The sequence below is a fragment of the Homo sapiens genome, chromosome 1, assembly GCF_000001405.40.
Source record: "Homo sapiens chromosome 1, GRCh38.p14 Primary Assembly".
Taxonomy (NCBI): Eukaryota; Metazoa; Chordata; class Mammalia; order Primates; family Hominidae; genus Homo; species Homo sapiens.
In genome coordinates this window covers 193,450,253-193,467,991 of record NC_000001.11, presented here as the reverse complement: position 1 = coordinate 193,467,991, position 17,739 = coordinate 193,450,253, and the positions used below count along the sequence as shown (strand labels likewise).

General features: G+C 36.3%; 1 long non-coding RNA gene across 1 annotated transcript in view; it reads right to left on the bottom strand.

The window, feature by feature from the left end:
- Window positions 1–13,707, bottom strand: part of LOC124904475 (uncharacterized) — a 765,263-nt gene extending 751,556 nt beyond the window's left edge. Inside the window, exons 1-2 of the long non-coding RNA XR_007066777.1 lie at window positions 13,590–13,707; window positions 10,242–10,351 (exon numbers count right to left, since the gene is read on the bottom strand). This is a non-coding gene — a long non-coding RNA (uncharacterized LOC124904475). The remainder of the gene's footprint in view (window positions 1–10,241; window positions 10,352–13,589) is intronic.
- Between the last annotated feature and the right edge of the window lie 4,032 nt (window positions 13,708–17,739).

The window sequence follows — 17,739 nt, the reverse complement described above, 5'->3', positions numbered from 1 at the left end:
GCTTGGGTTGATTTCCATGGAACTGGACTTACTCAAATATTTAACATTTGTTTTATATAGATAAATTTACTCAAAACTAAGTTTACTAGTATCACATGTCTATATGCATACTTGCTTCCTCGCAGCATGAGGAGCTAATAAGACCAAAGTAGTTATTTACTTTGACAGAAATGTTCAGTGATTTGTATTTTGAGATAAACCCTAAAATTAAAGTATTGTTTACAATTTTATATATGAGAAACTGGTTAAGCAATTCTCTATAAGATAGGGAAGTCTAAGCTACTCTTAAGGCTTTATAATATCTGCATCCTATGTCTTCTAGAAATTCTGTTTACACACATTTTATACCAATAAAAATGGGAAATAAATTTCTTAAGCTAAGGCAAAAGACAATAGCAGTGCAATTTTTGTTGAAATTTCTTCAACTACTTTCTCAGAAAAATCATAGCGCCCAATGGCATTTAGAACTTTTTCATAGAACTAAGTTTTCAGAAATAACAAAATGTAAGCTATATACTGAAAAATTTAATGTCCAATTTAAATAATATAATGTCTATACACATTCTAATACCTTTATTATTTTAAAAATTTTGTTTTCTATAAACCTTTTTCAAGTCTGTAAGACTCTTTCCTACGTGTGATACTAGTTGGGACAATATCCAAAGATAGGAAAAAATAAACTATTTTGTATTTAATAGTGTATTATTTTTTGTAGCTAAATGGTATTACACTATTGTTCCCAGCTCACCCTGGAGGGTGTAAGGAAGTGGGAGATGGGGTGGGAGTGGTAGATGAAGAAAAGGTGAGTGGAGGTGAAGAGATGAAGGGAAGGTGGAAAATATTTTAGTCACTTTTCAGGTTGTGGTACCAACTCTTCCTCACCACCTTTTCCATAAAATACTTTAAATCATAAATGCTGCAAAGGTAGTTCCATGCTGTCAACACTAACAGTAAATAATGGGTCAAGAAAGTGGATTAAAGCAAAAGTATGAAGTTTCTACGGCTAATACTTCTCTGTATGATTTTGTGAGGAAATATAGTTGTTGAGTAAATTACATTTTCATCACCATATGCTACATGTTATTATTTATTATTTTTCCAGTGAGTAATTACGGTTTTTAATTAACAACAAACCAATGAAAATTAAATGTATATACTTATGTCTAAAATTAATAGAGGTGGCCGGGCGCAGTGGCTCACACCTGTAATCCCAGCACTTTGGGAGGCCGAGGTGGGCGGATCACGAGGTCAGGAGATCGAGACCATCCTGGCTAACATGGTGAAACCCCGTCTCTACTAAAAATACAAAACAAAATTAGCCGGGCGTGCCGGCGAGCGCCTGTAGTCCCAGCTATTTGGGAGGCTGAGGCAGGAGAATGGCATGAACCCGGGAGGCGGAGCTTGCAGTGAGCCGAGATTGCGCCACTGCACTCCAGCCTGGGCGACAGAGCGAGACTCCATCTCAACAACAACAACAAAATAATAAAAAAAAAATTAAATTAAATTAATAGAGTAGGAGCAAAAGGCAAGTGATGTCAAGAACCTCTTTTATTTCTGCCAAAAGCACCTCTTCCCTATGTTGATGAGTTAGCATACATTATTCCTCCAGTCTGTGCTCAGAGACTGAAGCAATATAGAAGGAGAAAAATGAAGTACAAGTTAGAACCAATAATACCTTACACTTACATAGTGCTAAACATATGCCAGACACTCTAAATGCTTTACACATATTAGTGAAAGTTAATATATACCTCATTAAGGGCCCACCCCACAAGGAAGATATTATCTGCCCCCCAGATAAAGATATTAAAGCAACAGACTTTGCATAACTTACCTAAAATGATATACTTAATAAGTAGAAGAATTGGGCTTTCAACACAGATATCCTGGTTCCAAATTCTGTGCTCTTAATCACTCTCATCTCGCTAAGGAAAAATAATGGCTATTCACAAGTATAATATCAAATTAAAATAGTTAGAAGGTAGTGGATCAATGAGCAATCTAAAACAGCATGCAACAACATAGAGGAATCTCACAGACACAATATGAGTGAAAGAAGGCAGGCAAAAGAGTGTATTCTGCATTATTCCATTTATTGTATATAGTATACTAGTATATATAGATATATACTATCTACATTATTATAGATATATAGTACATGTCATATAGTGTATACAATATGTAATATATACAGTATATACACTATGAGATATCTAGACATATATAAACTATTTATTTATACATATATACTATATATATAGTATATATAATATTTTTCATTTATATATGCCAAATGACAAAAAACAGGCTATGCTGCTGGAAGTTGGGATAGCAGTCACCCTTGGGAGAGAGGGGTAGTAACTGGAAGGAAACACGAGGAGGGCTTCTGGATGCTGTTAGGCCTGCTTCTTGTTTGTTTGTTTGTTTGTTTGTTTGTTTTGGTCTGGGGTATTGATTACCTGGTGTGTGAGCTTGTGAAAATGCATCCAGCTATGTACTTATGATATGTGCCCATTTCTGTGTGTATATTGTATTTCAATAAAAGGTTTTAAAAGGAGGAAATGATAGGAGCTTTTAGATTATGTCAAATAAAGCAGGGAATGGCCCTCTTTTTTTTTTTTTTTTTTTTTTTTTTTTCTGAGATGGAGTTTCACTCTTGTTGCCCAGGCTGGAATGCAATGGGTCGATCTCAGCTCACTGCAACCTCCACCTCCCGGATTCCAGTGATTCTCTTGTCTCAGCCTCCCGAGTAGCTGGGATTACAGGGGCCTGCCACCATGCCCAGCTAATTTTTTGTATTTTTAGTAGAGATGGGGTTTCACCATGTTAGCCAGGCTGGTCTTAAACTCCTCACCTCAAGTGATCAGCCCACCTCGTCCTCCCAAATTGCTAGGATTACAGGCGTGAGCTACCGCACCCAGCCTCCTCAGTTTTACTAACACTCTCCTTCTGTCACATTCTAAGCTAGGAGATTCTAAAGTGTCATATCCCCTTCTATGCCTTTCCTACCTTTCTTTCTATTTTTCTCTTTAATTTTCTTTTTTTTTAAGTCTTTTTATTAAGGTAAAATATACACATATAATGTATCATCTCTGTTGTCAAAAAAAATCTAAAAAGAGGGAAAGCTATTTTTAGTTTCTTGCACTAAATAATAATTTGAATATCCAGCCTCACTTTTATTTAGGGAAAAGTGTTACAAATAAAAGATAAGAAAGATAACATTTTCTGAACCATCAATAATTAAAGAAGTTAACAGTGACTAAATCGCTTTTTCCCAAGCATGAAGACTGGTGTATAAATGTGTCTCCACCTCCTGTAAGACACTCTTCCCTTCCTAAGTACTGCTACAGCCAGTACCAGAAGGGGGTGGGAGGGGAGGTGCTGTTAGAGATTGGGCTTTTTTCAGAGTTCGAAAGAAAAAGAGAAATCCAGAATTCACAATTGAAAGCTTTGAAAAAGTGTAAAAACTATGATATCTGATTTCACGGCTCTCAAACTCTCAGAACATTGGTTTTGAACAGGACATATCTTTCTCCAAACTGCCATATGGGCCTTTGAGCCTGAGATATCTAATAATGAGAAAAATAAGGGAGAAAATACACCACATTCCCAGAGATTGTTTCTAATGGAAACCCAGTTTTGACAACCCTACCACCTGCTTTATATCATTAAACTGAAAGAGACTATGAATAGGCAAGGGGTGAGGAGAGACATTGCTAATAAAATATTTAAGAACATCAGGAAGAGCCACGTCAGGCTTTTAGTTTACCCAGAAAAAGCATCTTCCTAAAGTATCACTTGACCAAGATTTACTGTATTAATAAAATCACCTTCAGATTATAAAGATAGAAAAATGCATAAAATGCAGGCAGATAACCTATTTTTAAAATCTGGAATGAAAGGACAAAATGTTTTAGATGAAAGACAATGCTAAGCATCTTGCCCTTTGAGGTTGCAGTGTTTACTTTGACCTCATTATTTGCAGGTGATTGGTACTAAGTACCAATATCTGAAAATCATCTGAGATGTCCACATAACGTTGCATAAGATTTAGTATGCCTTGAAACAAACTAACAAACAAGCAGGGATGACTACCTAGTTAATGTCTGAACACTATCTCCTCCACAATTATTGTTGCTAGAGGAGATGAATGATTGATTGTATGTGATGGAATTTACCATCTTTCAAATGTGCATTTTCCTCTTGAATACTGAAATAATGATGGTCCCAGAGAGCCATGCACATTGCCCAATCCATCAGCATTTTTCTCCGTGTTTGACTTTCATTCCTCTGCATTTGATTGCTTCTGAAATAATGGTAGCAGAATTGAAAATGCTTTTTATATTCCCCAGATGATTTTCATTTGCAATAGATAAGCAAATGCAATTTTTCCTATTACACTAACCAGGAAAAGACACCCCCATACATTATAGCGTTCAATAAATACAGGGGAGGGGATTCCATTGGGTACGCTAGCACACTCAAAAGAGAAGGAACTAAGAATGACGTGCAACTAAGCAAGCAAAGTCTTTTTCATCCACACATGCCTAGAAAGTGAGTAGATGTCCTATCTACACATTAAAAGTACACGTCAACCTAATTCTGGGGCCTATTTTCTACATATAAAAAATGGGATTAAGCACAAATCCTGTGCAGTGATTTTTTACTAATTTAAAGTGACATGAGAAGCTTGAATTATCTATCATTTCAGTACATTTGAGTTAATAGCTCTGTCTGGCATTAGTTTCCCTACAATAGAATTTCTCTCCCTACCCTCTTTTTTGCCTCACCCACAATACTTCACCAGTCAGTTTTTGAACAATGGGAAATTGTTTTCTTTGTGGCATTTAGTACTTATCACTGACTGCGGAGGGATTTGCGGAGGAAAATTCCTAAGAGTTTTGCAAGAAAATGTGAGCTGTCAACCTGACTGATCTGCATAAACTCCCTCCTAAATCTCAAATATTTTGCTTTTGTTTCAGGTTATTTTCAATGAGAAAATAACATGAAGGGAGAATGTTTTAAAAGTCCAACTTTCGGCTTCTTTTGCTTCATATTTTGTTACTTTCTCTTTTTTTGGCAAGAGAAACTTAATTATGTAAAGTAGCAACAGCTCACCCAGATCTTGCACTGATCCACAGCACAGATAAGCAGTTTTGAGGAAGTTAAATATTCAGTGAAGACGCTACTAATCACTACCCCAGGAACAGCCCCAAAGGAAGATTATTCTTTGCATTGTGGATGCGCCTGTCATTTGCAGAGCTTTGCAAATACTCAAAAAAGGCAGAGGCTTGGGGAAAAATAACTCTCAAAAGTGAAAATGTAAAATTTACATTGTTTCATAAATTGTACCATCATAATAAAGGTTTATAACATTTTTCTTAGAAATTAAGAGAGAAGCTAGTCTTCTTATAGTTTCAGAAGAAAATGCATTGGAAACAAATCTTATGTGATATGAAATCTCTACAAATTCAGCGATTTGGCTGAAAAATATCTGCATATATACAATGCAGCATTCTTTAGAAATAACAATGCATTCTGAGGGCATTTCTAACAAGGCTAGAAATCATTTCCCCCATATTTTATTCAACTCTTGCCAAATATAGTCTCAGGTTGGTACCTACAAGCACACTTCATCACATTATACTTGGACCATAAATTATTATTAGAAAAACTTCCTAACCTTGAAATTCAATCGGTTCTGTTTGGGTAATCTTGTAGTTTTTAGAAAATGCATCCACATCTAAACTTAAAACAAAAGAATAAAATTTAAAAAAAATCAATGAAGGTATAATTAACAGTATAATAATATAGGTAATACATGTATGAGTGAGATATTCAAAAATGTAATTTAAGCAATATCACTATAAATTTTATAATTTTAGATGCCCTTAGATATGTCTAGGAATAATAATCATGTATTTGCAGCATTCATGTCAGGCTCTTCCTACACAAATTTTTGAGACTGAGAGTTTGATGAAATTTTATGGGTTGTGCATGAACCATGTTTGCGAGGGCTCAGACTTTCATGATAAACTCTGGCTCTGACCTGCTGCTTCCATGCACACTCCCCTTTCACTCCTTGCCACCTGCTTCAGGCATCGTCTTGCCTCTGCTGTAAACTGAACTAGACACAGAACTCATTTTCTTTTCACTGATTTCCGCCAACAAAACAGCCACAATTTTAGCTGAAAGTCTGGGGAGCAAGAAGCTCAAACAACTGAAAAGTGATAAGATGTCCCGTTCTTAAAAGTGCCTTGGCAAGCAGCAGCCTTTTCTCACTTCGTGTCTTCTCTTCTCTTGTGGGTGCCCACTCCTTCTAAATTCCCAGTCATTTCTCCTGCAGACTGGTTTCACCTTCTTTTTTCTCCTTTCAGACTTGCACTTCCAGTCTCCCTTTCCACCCTTGATGCTTAGGTGCTAGAAAGAGAAAGGAGTAGAGGCCATACTAACAACAGTCCTGTGCCATTTCTCGTACTACTTTGGAACATGCAAATTCCACAGATGTCTATCTGTCTGGGAACCTGGGATAGAAATGGGCTTGTGGGAGTAAAATTATTTAAAGTTAAAAAATGTGGCATTTGGACACTAATAATTATCAGGTTAATTGTTCTGAACACTAACAATTATCAGGTTAAATTCACTCATTTTGCAGAGATTTAACTAACCAGAATTCTCAGTAGCAAAACCAAGCCACGAACTCAGTTCTCCCAACTTGCAAGTTCATGATTCTTTTCTATCATCTAATATTTTTACCTTGTGTTTTTTTTAACTTCAAGGCACTTTCTTATAAATATCATTTCCTCCTCTTATATTTCACACTCAGAACTTACTACAGAGGTTAGGTACACGAACTTGGCTTTACTGTCAATGTTTTAAGAATTCTGACAGCTTTATTGACTAGATTTCTATAATGATAGGGGATTCATTTGTCCATGAGAAGCTACAGGTAGAGAAAATAATCCCCAAACTCTCTTTTTTCATGAAAGAATGTGCAAAGCCCAGACAGAACTGAGAAATGGAAAGGCTCCTGGGCCTAATGGAATGCTTACTGAGATCTATTGATTCTGAAGCAGCACATTGATTGGCCATCTAACTCCACAGTCTGTAATGTCTAGCCGAAAGAAAAAGTATGGGAACAGATAAAAGATGTCAGGGATGTCACCAGCTGTGATCACAAGTTTCCAAAAGGGATTGTGACAGTTAGTGAAGCATCTCTTTAACGTTAGTCCCCAGGAATATACTGTCAAGTATTTGTCTCAGTAAGAACCATGTGGCATCTCAGATATTTTCACTTTAGAGTCACATGCAGTTTTAGTATCTAGGTTTGTTTAGATGTTTACATATTGTGAATCACTTACATTGTTATTATGTATTGCCAACTGAAGAAAAGTAAAGAAATAGAGACTTTTAGAAAGTCCTTTACCATAAGGCTTTATTCCGTCAGTCATCCAGACTTCCAACTCTATAAGGGGCTGAATAGATAAAATTAAAAATAATAATAATAATAAAAGAACAGCAGCATGATATAGGGTGTAGGCACAGGAACTTGAACTAGGCTGTCCTGGTGCAAATCCTCATTCTAACATTAAATGGCAGTATCTTTGGGAAAGTCATATAACTTACTTTTCCCTCAGTTTCTTAAACTATATTATAGGGATAATTAATCATACCTACCTCATAGGATTAAATCAAATTGTATTTTTAAGTGTGTAGAAAAATGCCTGGCACCTAATAAGTGACATAAACTGTTTTTAATAAAATAATAATAATAACTTACACCCAGACAGCTGGATTAACCTGCAGGCACATCAGACTTCCTTACTATTTCAATGCTTCCCAGCAGACAGGATCACAGGGTAAATTGATTCAGACTGCCACCAGATAAAAAGATAAGGATGGGAAATTTGGTTTGTCAAATCCAAAAATGGTGTTTTAATATTATTAGAAAAGTCTTTACATCCTACTAATCTCCTCAGGTAAAACTGAAAACCAAAAAATGATTCATTTCTTATGTCTAGAAACAGAAAATATAGGGACAATCAATCTCCTTTGTTAGTAGAGATATTTAACTTCAGGTTAGCTAACCTCTGCCACTCAGCAGGGTCCCCCAACCACCAATTATTGTGTATTCAGGGAGTGCAAACCAATTAACCTGAGCAAACAAGAATAAAAAGATAAGTCTCACAAAGGGGAAAAACCATACAGTGCTCTCCCAAAATTATTCCCTTTGCGAACTGCAATCTTTATTGATTCTCTCATTCTCTTCTTTCTTAGTCAGGGTGGCTAATAAAAAGTTGACTATATACAATTTTTCTATAAAGCTAAATGTTCCTGAAGGATGTGAGAAATAAAAGGAGCTAATATGACTACATTAAAATAGCAGTCAGAATAGTGTACCACAGGAAGGGAATAAATTAAAAATATTATGAGGAATGAAAAAGAATTCAAGATTAAAACAAAAACCACTTACCCAACTAGAAAGGGGAAAAAATAACTACAACCAGGAACATCTACCTAACTTGTGGGGACCAATACAAAATGAACAGGCAGAGGTTCTTGTTCAAAACGTATTAAAAAAAATAAGATGGTAAGAGCAGAGCACTAAACCAAGTGTGGGGTCCTTCTAAGCGTGTACCTGCATAGGTCATGTGCCCATGAAGCCCGCCTTGATATGAAGACATGAGCTTATAAGTATTAGAAAATGAGAAAAGATCAAGGTAAGCACATAAATTCAGATGAAAGTCTAGAAACATTTAAGGCACAAGAAAGGGAAATATTGGAAGACCTGATAAAAGGGGTTAGATTAAGTGAATGTCAGAGAATAGAGGGAGAAGACTAGGAAATAAAGATGAAAACGTGAACAGATAAGAAAGGCCAAAGTGAAAAGACAAACCTAAGTCAACTCCACCTGCAAAAAGCACAATAGCAAGGTAGACCAAAAGAAGCAAGTCCATATTTGACCCTCCAAATCAAGCAACCAACAAGTTGGTACCATGTGCCTTCATGCCAGGGAAATGACGATTCCAGCTACCAAAGAGCCTAATTAGAAGCAGCGGAAGAGGGACTGTGAAAAGGGCAATGACTAAGTGTTACATAAAAAGTTCTTTCAAAGTCCTTTGAGTAGGAAAACATCTAAATGTGGGTCAACCTATTTTTTTAGAATAAAGAGAATGTCTGACAATTGAAACCATACTATCATAACTAGCTTTTCAAATGATAGAATAGATAGGGCACTTGAACACGAACAGACAAAATGATTCATTATGAAACACCGCTTTATGTTACACAAAAATCAAGAGTTAGATAGCTATTATATATGATGGCTAAAAAGGATTGCCAGCCACTATACGCAGCCAAGAAGAACAAAGAACATATTCACAAAGCAGTTAGTTCATGTTTTTATTGCGAACAATAATCAAAATAACCGCTGGTTGAAGTGCAGGCTTTGATATTTTTTAAAAAATCCAGTGTACACATGTGTATCAAATGAGTTGAGGCATTCAGATCTATTACCTTGAAAAATTACACTTGTATCCCAATCAAGCTACAATTGCTCAAAACATTTTTAGACCTGTTCTTTCTTCGCGGATAATTTTTAACCTGCAAGTGTTTGGAGCTGTTTGGTTTTTTAAAAAATAAAAATCTGGATCAAAAATTATAAAATTAAGAAGTGTTTTTCTTTGTGATTCAAACCAGTTCTGAAGGTAAGATTTAAAAATACAGAATTCACAAAACGTTTAAAAGTGAAGACAGGATTATGAAGTGAGTAGATAGACTACCTTGCTCAACAGTCTCATAAATATATAAGTGTAAGAAATCAGAGAAATTTGGAACTGTAAACAACCTTAAAGACTATATAACCTAGCTATAGCTTCCTATTAAATGGATGAAGAAACTGAGGCCCCCAATAGGTGGAGATTTTCCTGAGGCTATACACCTGGTTCAGGGAGAGGCAGGACTAGAACACAGTTCACATTTTTTCTCATCCAGTAGTCTTTCCACACCACTGGGAACATCTGCCAAAACCGTATGACCTTCTAGAAAGTCATTGAGAACCACAGATATCATCTACAAACATGCTGAATCGTTACCATTTCTGAAAGGCAAGTCAGTCAGTCCTGGTCGTCATGGCAATAACTCTTCACACTCACAGCCTGACGATTACAAATGTAAAATGCAGCCGACCAAGACAGGAATAAACCTTATTAAAACAACGTTCTAAAAATGGCACCGCTTACCTGGTTTGCCCGTTCTGAGTTGCAGAATCTTGACTGCAATTGTCGTGTAAGCTCAATTCAGTCCAGACATCTATATTTAATAGTATCAAGAGATATTCTTTGTCTTGGGACTTTAGGAGGAAAAAAAAACAAAAGTGATTGAGCATAACAACCAACATTAGGAAACTGAAATTTAAAAGGTTACTGTACATGCATTAGCATAATTACACACAAAAAAAACCTATAAATGAACAGTGATGTTCTTATATTAAATCTACTCGCTAGGAATTAGTGAAGCCTGGAGCCTCTTGCCTCTGCTTTCTTCTTTCTCTTAGTGTCCATTTTTTCCTGACAATGCTGTTCTTTTCCCATATGCGTGTTGTTGTGGCTGATTTTTTGTATGACAGCACTAATCCAGGCTCTGTGTCTACAGTCACTCAGAATTCAAATTCAAAATAACAGAGTCTTAGTCCACTGTTTCTCAAGGAGATGTTTTGCCCTCTACACTGCAATATGAAAAAAACAATGCCTATAACCAGCAACTCAACATGTGTTTTCTATTCTAACCTGAAAGTTTCATTCTGTAAGTTTCTACCCAGCAACTCTCAGTGACAAGAGAAATTTCCAAGTCTAGCCCAGCCTAAAAACTGATCACCCACAAAACAGAAGTGGGAACCCAATGAGGCTCCTTAAGTAAATGCTGCAACCTAACATTTAATCATGCAAACATTCCACAATACACATGAGTGATAGTTCAAAGATTTCAAACATTTATGCAATTGTGTGTCACAGAGTGGTTTTTACATACATTTTCTCGGGGCATGTCTGTGTCTAATAGCTGGGTATGGCTGGTTTGTGTTTTATATCACCTCATCAGCACTCAGAAGAGAACAGTCGATTACTCTCTGAAATCCAAGTTTTTCAAAACATTCAGTATGGACAGGAGTGACATCTTGTTACCTTTCCCAAGTAACCCTTTCCTACCCCTCCTTCACCTATTCACTGTGCCTTCTGAAACTTCAGATCTGTGGCCAACAAACCTACTCATATTTTCACCTTTTCTTTAAATGACCCTTTGCACTGTGCTTATCTAAAATTCTTCTCTGCAGCTGTCTCAGGGACAGAAAAGGAGCCGGTGTTCTTTTTGACCCACATAGCTGCTTCTAAACAGTTTATTTCTCCAAAAGCTTTCAAAACCCACAGCTTCTCTGAAGCTACGCCATCTTGCTATGCCACCCACCTTCTTGTGCTCTCCTCTATGGACTTCATTCATATGGCCCCCCATTTATTGAAGACATTGCTGACTCCCTACATTTCTTCTACCCCTACAGCATTTAACATTCCTTCAGACTTCAGCAACCACATGATGTCTCATCAGAAACCTTGGTTTACCAGTTCTTCTATTTCACCTCCATATAGTTCTCTTCCACTTTAGCCAACCGTTCCTGTTGTTAAAACTGACACCTTGTAAATATCAGTAAATGAGTCATCACCAAAATTTCCATTTGAAATCTACCACTTTGATACTTCTCTTCTTCTAGCTCATTCTAGAATGTTCACTTCATTCATTCTACTTCACTCTGACCTTCATCCATGGCCTCACTACTTTTTCATTCCCATCCTGTTCATTTTCCTTCTTATTCAAACTAGATGTAAGATCCATGACTATAATCATTCTCTAGGAAACACCCTCAACTTCCTCATCATATTTCATTCCATTGTAATTAACTGGGAACCTTTTTTTGTTCTCTTCCTCTTGCCTGCCTGCCACTCAGCAGCTGAATCTAAAAAATATCACACATTGGCTTCTTGGTTTCACCGTAACTTCATGATAACAGACCTAAAATGATCAGATACCAATCCCCAGCAACGTTAAAATTTTTCCCAAGTAAGTTCATTTTTCCCCTTCCAAGATGACCTTCCTTTCTCTTTAAACCTCCTCTCTATCCTTTCCGATGAGGATGTTGCCACAGAGTCATTAAAAAAATAGAAACTACTAGATTAGAATTCCTTCATAGTGCAAATCAATTCTGCACATGTTTCCTCTTTGCAATTTTAAGTGTCTTTACACCTACCAAAAGAAATTGTTTCCACAGGCGCTTTTGCTCCAACCCTCTCACCTTCTCAAGAAGTGCACAGCTTCAGCCATCTCCCCATGCCCTACCATCCACCCATTCTCTCTGTCAGATCATTTCCACACATATTTTCACTATCTCCCATATATTTTTACATATATTTTCACTGTCTCCCATATACCTTCACTATCTTCCATCTTAAAAAAAACAAAAACTCTCTTAAGCTCATAGTCCCCAATCCAGCATGTTCTCTTTCTCCTTCTTTCCTCAACAAAACTCCCTGAATGAATTGTCTACATCTGCTAGCTCTACTTTCTTATTTTCAAGTCACTTTTCAATCTATTAAGGTTGCCAACAACCTTTTGTTGCCAAATCCATGATCACTTTTTTTTGTTCTTATTACACGTATTTCTTCAGCAGCATCCTTCGGTGGTCACATTCATTCCTGCACTTTTAAATATCATCTATGATAACAAATTTCAAATTTATACCTAGATCAAAGTCCAGACTTCACCACCACCTACTTGCAAACTCCTCTTGAATGTGTAATAGGCATCTCATAAGACAAAAAAGTCCTTCCCAACTCAGGAAACAGAACCACAGTCCACTGAATTATTCAAGCCAAAATCAATGACTCTTTCTTTCCCCATTCTTTCCAAGCCATCAACAAGTCCTACAGATCCAAAACGCATCTCAAGTCACTTCACTGCTCTCCATCTGTACAGCCACCATATTCCAGGCACTGTTTCTTTCCAGGACTCCTTCCACAGTCTCTGAATTGGTTTTCTGTTTCGTATCACTCCCACAACACCAATTACTCATTCCCCATAAAATAGTAAGATATTTAAAAAGATAAGTTAGATTGCATTATCCCTTGCTTAAAATCCTTCAATGTTATCCTATTTCTCTCAGAATAAAACCAAGTTTCTAACCATAGGTTTGTGCCCTATTCAACCTCACTCTGCACAACACTCCCCTCATTCACAATAGTGCAAGAACATCGTCTTCCTTCCTGTATATTGTTTGAACACACCAACTCTTTTTCTTCCTCTAGGACTTTGCATGTGCTGATCTTTCTATCTGAAATGCTTCCTCTCCCTCCTCTCCTCTTACCCCCATTTCACTTGACTGACATTCTCATTCTCAACATTTGGCAAAGATGTCACCTCCTCAGAGAAGTCTTCACTAGCCTTCCTCTAGAGTAGCCTCCCACAGATATTGTCTATCTCATTATGTTTATTTTTCCTAAACTCTAATTACAATCCATAGTTACCTTATTTATATATTTGCTTACTTTTTCATTGTCTTGTCTTTCTCATTATAGTTGAAGCCCACTGATGACAGGGACTCTGACTGTCCTCATCACTGATGAATCTTCTGCACCTAATGCATTAGCACATTGTAGAAATTCACTAAAGATCTGCTGAATAAATGAAGAAATTTGTTTCTGGTACATTTTACCTATAATATATACATTGAGGATATTTGAGAAATAATTGAAGATATGGCTTAAATTTTCCACATACTTCATTTTCAAAATTATGCATTGCCTTTGGTGTTAAAGTTTTAGGTTTAAAAATAGTTGTGTTCTTGTTTATTATTATTTGTTTTTTTAAATTTATCTTTAATAGACAAAAATTATATACATTTATGGTGTACAACATGTTTTGAAATATGAATACAATGTGGAATGACTAAATCTAGCTAATTAACATATGCATTAGCTCATATACTTATCATTTTTTTGTGGTGAGAACACTTCAATTCTACTCTTTTAGTGATTTTCAAGCATGCAGTATGTTATTAACTATAGTTGTAGTACTGTTAATAGCATCTTTATTTAGCCTGTTATTTGCTTGGAATGTTTGGATGTTTTTACTGCCTAGATTTAGACAAGCATATGGTAACCAAAGCGGGTTACAACATATAAACATAATAATATTAACAACTACCATTTCTGAGAGCTTACTATATGCCAAGCACTGTTCTAAATCTCGTGTATACTAAACTAAAGCATGATTATTATGCCTGCTTAATGGGTGAGGAAATCATATATACCTTCTGATTTGAAGTGGTCACAAGTAAGGGAACATTTTATAATCCTCTTCATTAGGACTCAGTAGTATTAATTGTTAGGAATGACTAAAAAAAACAGTACAAGCATCTTTTTTGGGGGGAATCACACATGCTGAAAAGGCTTTCCATAATCTTTCTTTGAAAAGACTTCTTCACTGAGGTAATAAAACTCATAGTGTATTCAAACCAATAAAACCAAATGCTTAAATCAAATATTTAAACATTCATTTATATGCATTTTACATCTCTCTGTAGAGTAAAATAAAGCATCCTTTGACCAGAGGCTTTCCTCCCATTTCCCCTGGGTCCAATGTCATGCCAGCCCATTTCACAGATAATAGAGCTGGGATGGCCAGCAGCAGCTGATGTAGTATTGATTACTTTATGACACTACACATTGAATATTTAGTCTAATAAATGATTCTCCTGACTCCCTCTGAGTCTCTAGCTCGAGAGAGCTGTAGCTGCCAGCATAGTTGGAATTAGACCACCTCTTCATTGCCTTTCCTTTACATGGATACTGGAAAAGCAGGGTTCCATTTTCAAGAGTAACAATGGAGAATGTGGGCTATGATGAGAATAGAGTCAAACTGAAGATTATTTATAAGTAATTACATTTTCTGTTTTGTTTTATGAAACATATACCATATGTTTTCATATTAATGGGTTTTTACATTTTGAAAGAAAAATTATTTATATATGTTGAATCTTCTCAAATGGTCTTAAAACTTATGATTCTAACAAATAACCTTGAAAGGCTAATAAATTAACTCTGTATCATAATATAAAATTAAGAAATGATTGTGAGGGGAAAGGAAGAATGAATTTTGAATTTCTTTTAACAGAAAGAGACTGTCAAAATGCATCTGGATTCTGCAAAAGAGTGCTGGATCTTGGCAAAGGAGTAGCATATCAATAACCACACACCTCCCCCTAGAGTATGCCTCTTATCATCCTCAACTCTTATTCACATGTTCCTGAAGCATCACTGTATTGGCACTTCACGTGCACCATTATAGGTCTTCCTAGCCCGCCCACCCCACACTTCAGCCCCTGCTACAGCAATCAGTTCTGCACAGGCTCCTACCACCTTCCCAAAATGTAATCTGACAACTCTGAACCTTGGCCTATGCTTTTTATCCCAGGACTTGTCTGAATCTGATCATCACTCAGGTGTGCACCACATTGTAGGGAGCATAGTTAATGCCTATGGGGTTTCCATTGACCACTGGGGAACCGATAGTGGATACGTGCTTCCACTTTGGTCCCCACGCTGGACAGTTCTGAAATATATTTAATTTTGATAGGCTTCTTAGATGATCCCAGCAACATCCAGCACCATTCAACCCGCAGCAGTAGCCAACTTGATAGCTCATCCTTATTTTGGCTTTCCTAGCTTTGCTATGCCCCTAGCCCTTCACCCCTGGCCCCTGCAATTAGTCCCCAAATAAACTTGCATGCAAGACTTGTCTTAAGCTCTGCTTTCAAAGGAAGTCAGGCTAAGACATTTCTTTCATGTAAAAAAATTTTAGGTTGGGCAAAACATTATGTTATTCTACTGATAAGTGATTTTAAACATCTCATATTTATAATTAATAACAAATATATTATGAAACAAAATGCACATTTTACATTTATTGGTATCTTAAAACACAAAACTTTAAAGAAATTTCACACTTTCAGTGGTCAACACAGGAATGCCCTCTCAGAAACCAAATGGTTACCACAGTAGATGCAGAGTAGGCCCCTCAGATGCACCAACATATGCTGGTGCCCTCAGTGTCTAGGGGCCAATTTGTACACACCTGTCAAAATCTTGTTGCCTGAGGGCTTTTCTCTGAAGCTTCTGAAAGCCTGGACTACCTCAGCAAATAGTAGGCCAGAAGTTTCTGGAATTAACCCCTCTGGAGCAACCTTCAACCAATGACTGATAGGAGTGAGGAATTTATACTTAGCTCAATAGATAGACGATAAGATAGAGAAATAGGTAGATAGATAGATAGATAGATAGATAGATAGATAGATAGATAGATAGATAGATAGATAATAGATGATAGATAATAAATAAATAGATTGAAAAATAGATGATAGATAATATAGACTGACAGATAATAGATGATAGACAATAGATTGACAGATAATAGATGATACATAGCAGATTGAAAGATAGATGATAAATGGATAATAGATTAAATAGACAGATGATAGATGATAGATTTTTTAAAGACAGATAATAGATAATAGATGATAGATAGATGGAAGATAGATAGATAGATAATAGATAGATAGAGATAGATCAATGATAGATAGAGACATAGGTATATAGATGTACATATTTCACATTCCCCAGGAGGGATAGCTGTGAAGTGTACATTCTACACCATTTCCCAATTTCCCCCTGGTATTATGTAATAATGGCAATTAGTAGTAACTGGCTTGATGATGTACCTTCTATTGATTGCCTTCCGTTTCCCATCTCACTTCCTTATTTCCCTTCTGGCATTTCATACATTTCTCAAATAAATTATTTTGTACTAAAAGCCTGTCTGAAAGTCCATTTCTGTGGGCACTCAAACAGAAACAATTTTGTTGGTACCAAAATCTGTAAAGCATTGCCCCAGGTCATACATAATGAGAATACTCTTCTCTATAAAACACGCTCAGCACTTTTACCCACTGGTGTCAACAAGTTTACATGAGATCTAAAAATGAGAAATCAGACCCTAATTCACAAATGGATGTGTGAGAAGAAATTCAATGTGCATATCTATTCTTAAAATATGTGTGCCTCAGTGCCTTTGAGGCTTAGGGTTAAGTTGGGGTAAGGTTTTCCATTGGTTTGGGTTTTTTGGTTTTTTATGACTTAGTGGTAAATTTCATTCACACACCTAACAAACTGATTGTTTCAAAAATATTTTTTACCAAAATAATGTGAACTCTGTTTTCTTCATTGTAGAATAAAGAACAGCTAAATTGATTTCAACCACTTTCTCAATCTTTTCATGATAGTCTCTTCAAATGGCAAACTGCTGTGTGAGGCATTTATTTTTAACATTCCAATATCAGAGTGTGTTGCTTAAGATCTCAACCCTCAGCCTCCTCCACAGACATGCCATTTTTCTAAAAGATAAAATTGAATCGAGAAATTTGCCCAAAGGAAGGAGATGGAGGAGATAGCTGACCTAGGTTTATGCCTGCCCAAAGTGAAAAGAAATATATAGTGTCCTCCTTGGATATTGTCACGTTAAATTTGCTTTTAATGAGTTCCTTCTCATTTCCAGTATATAGACAGCATTATTCTTTGAAAGTCTTTCCATCTTCATCTGATGTCCACAGACTTCCTCCAATTCTAAGAATAAAGAGCCTAC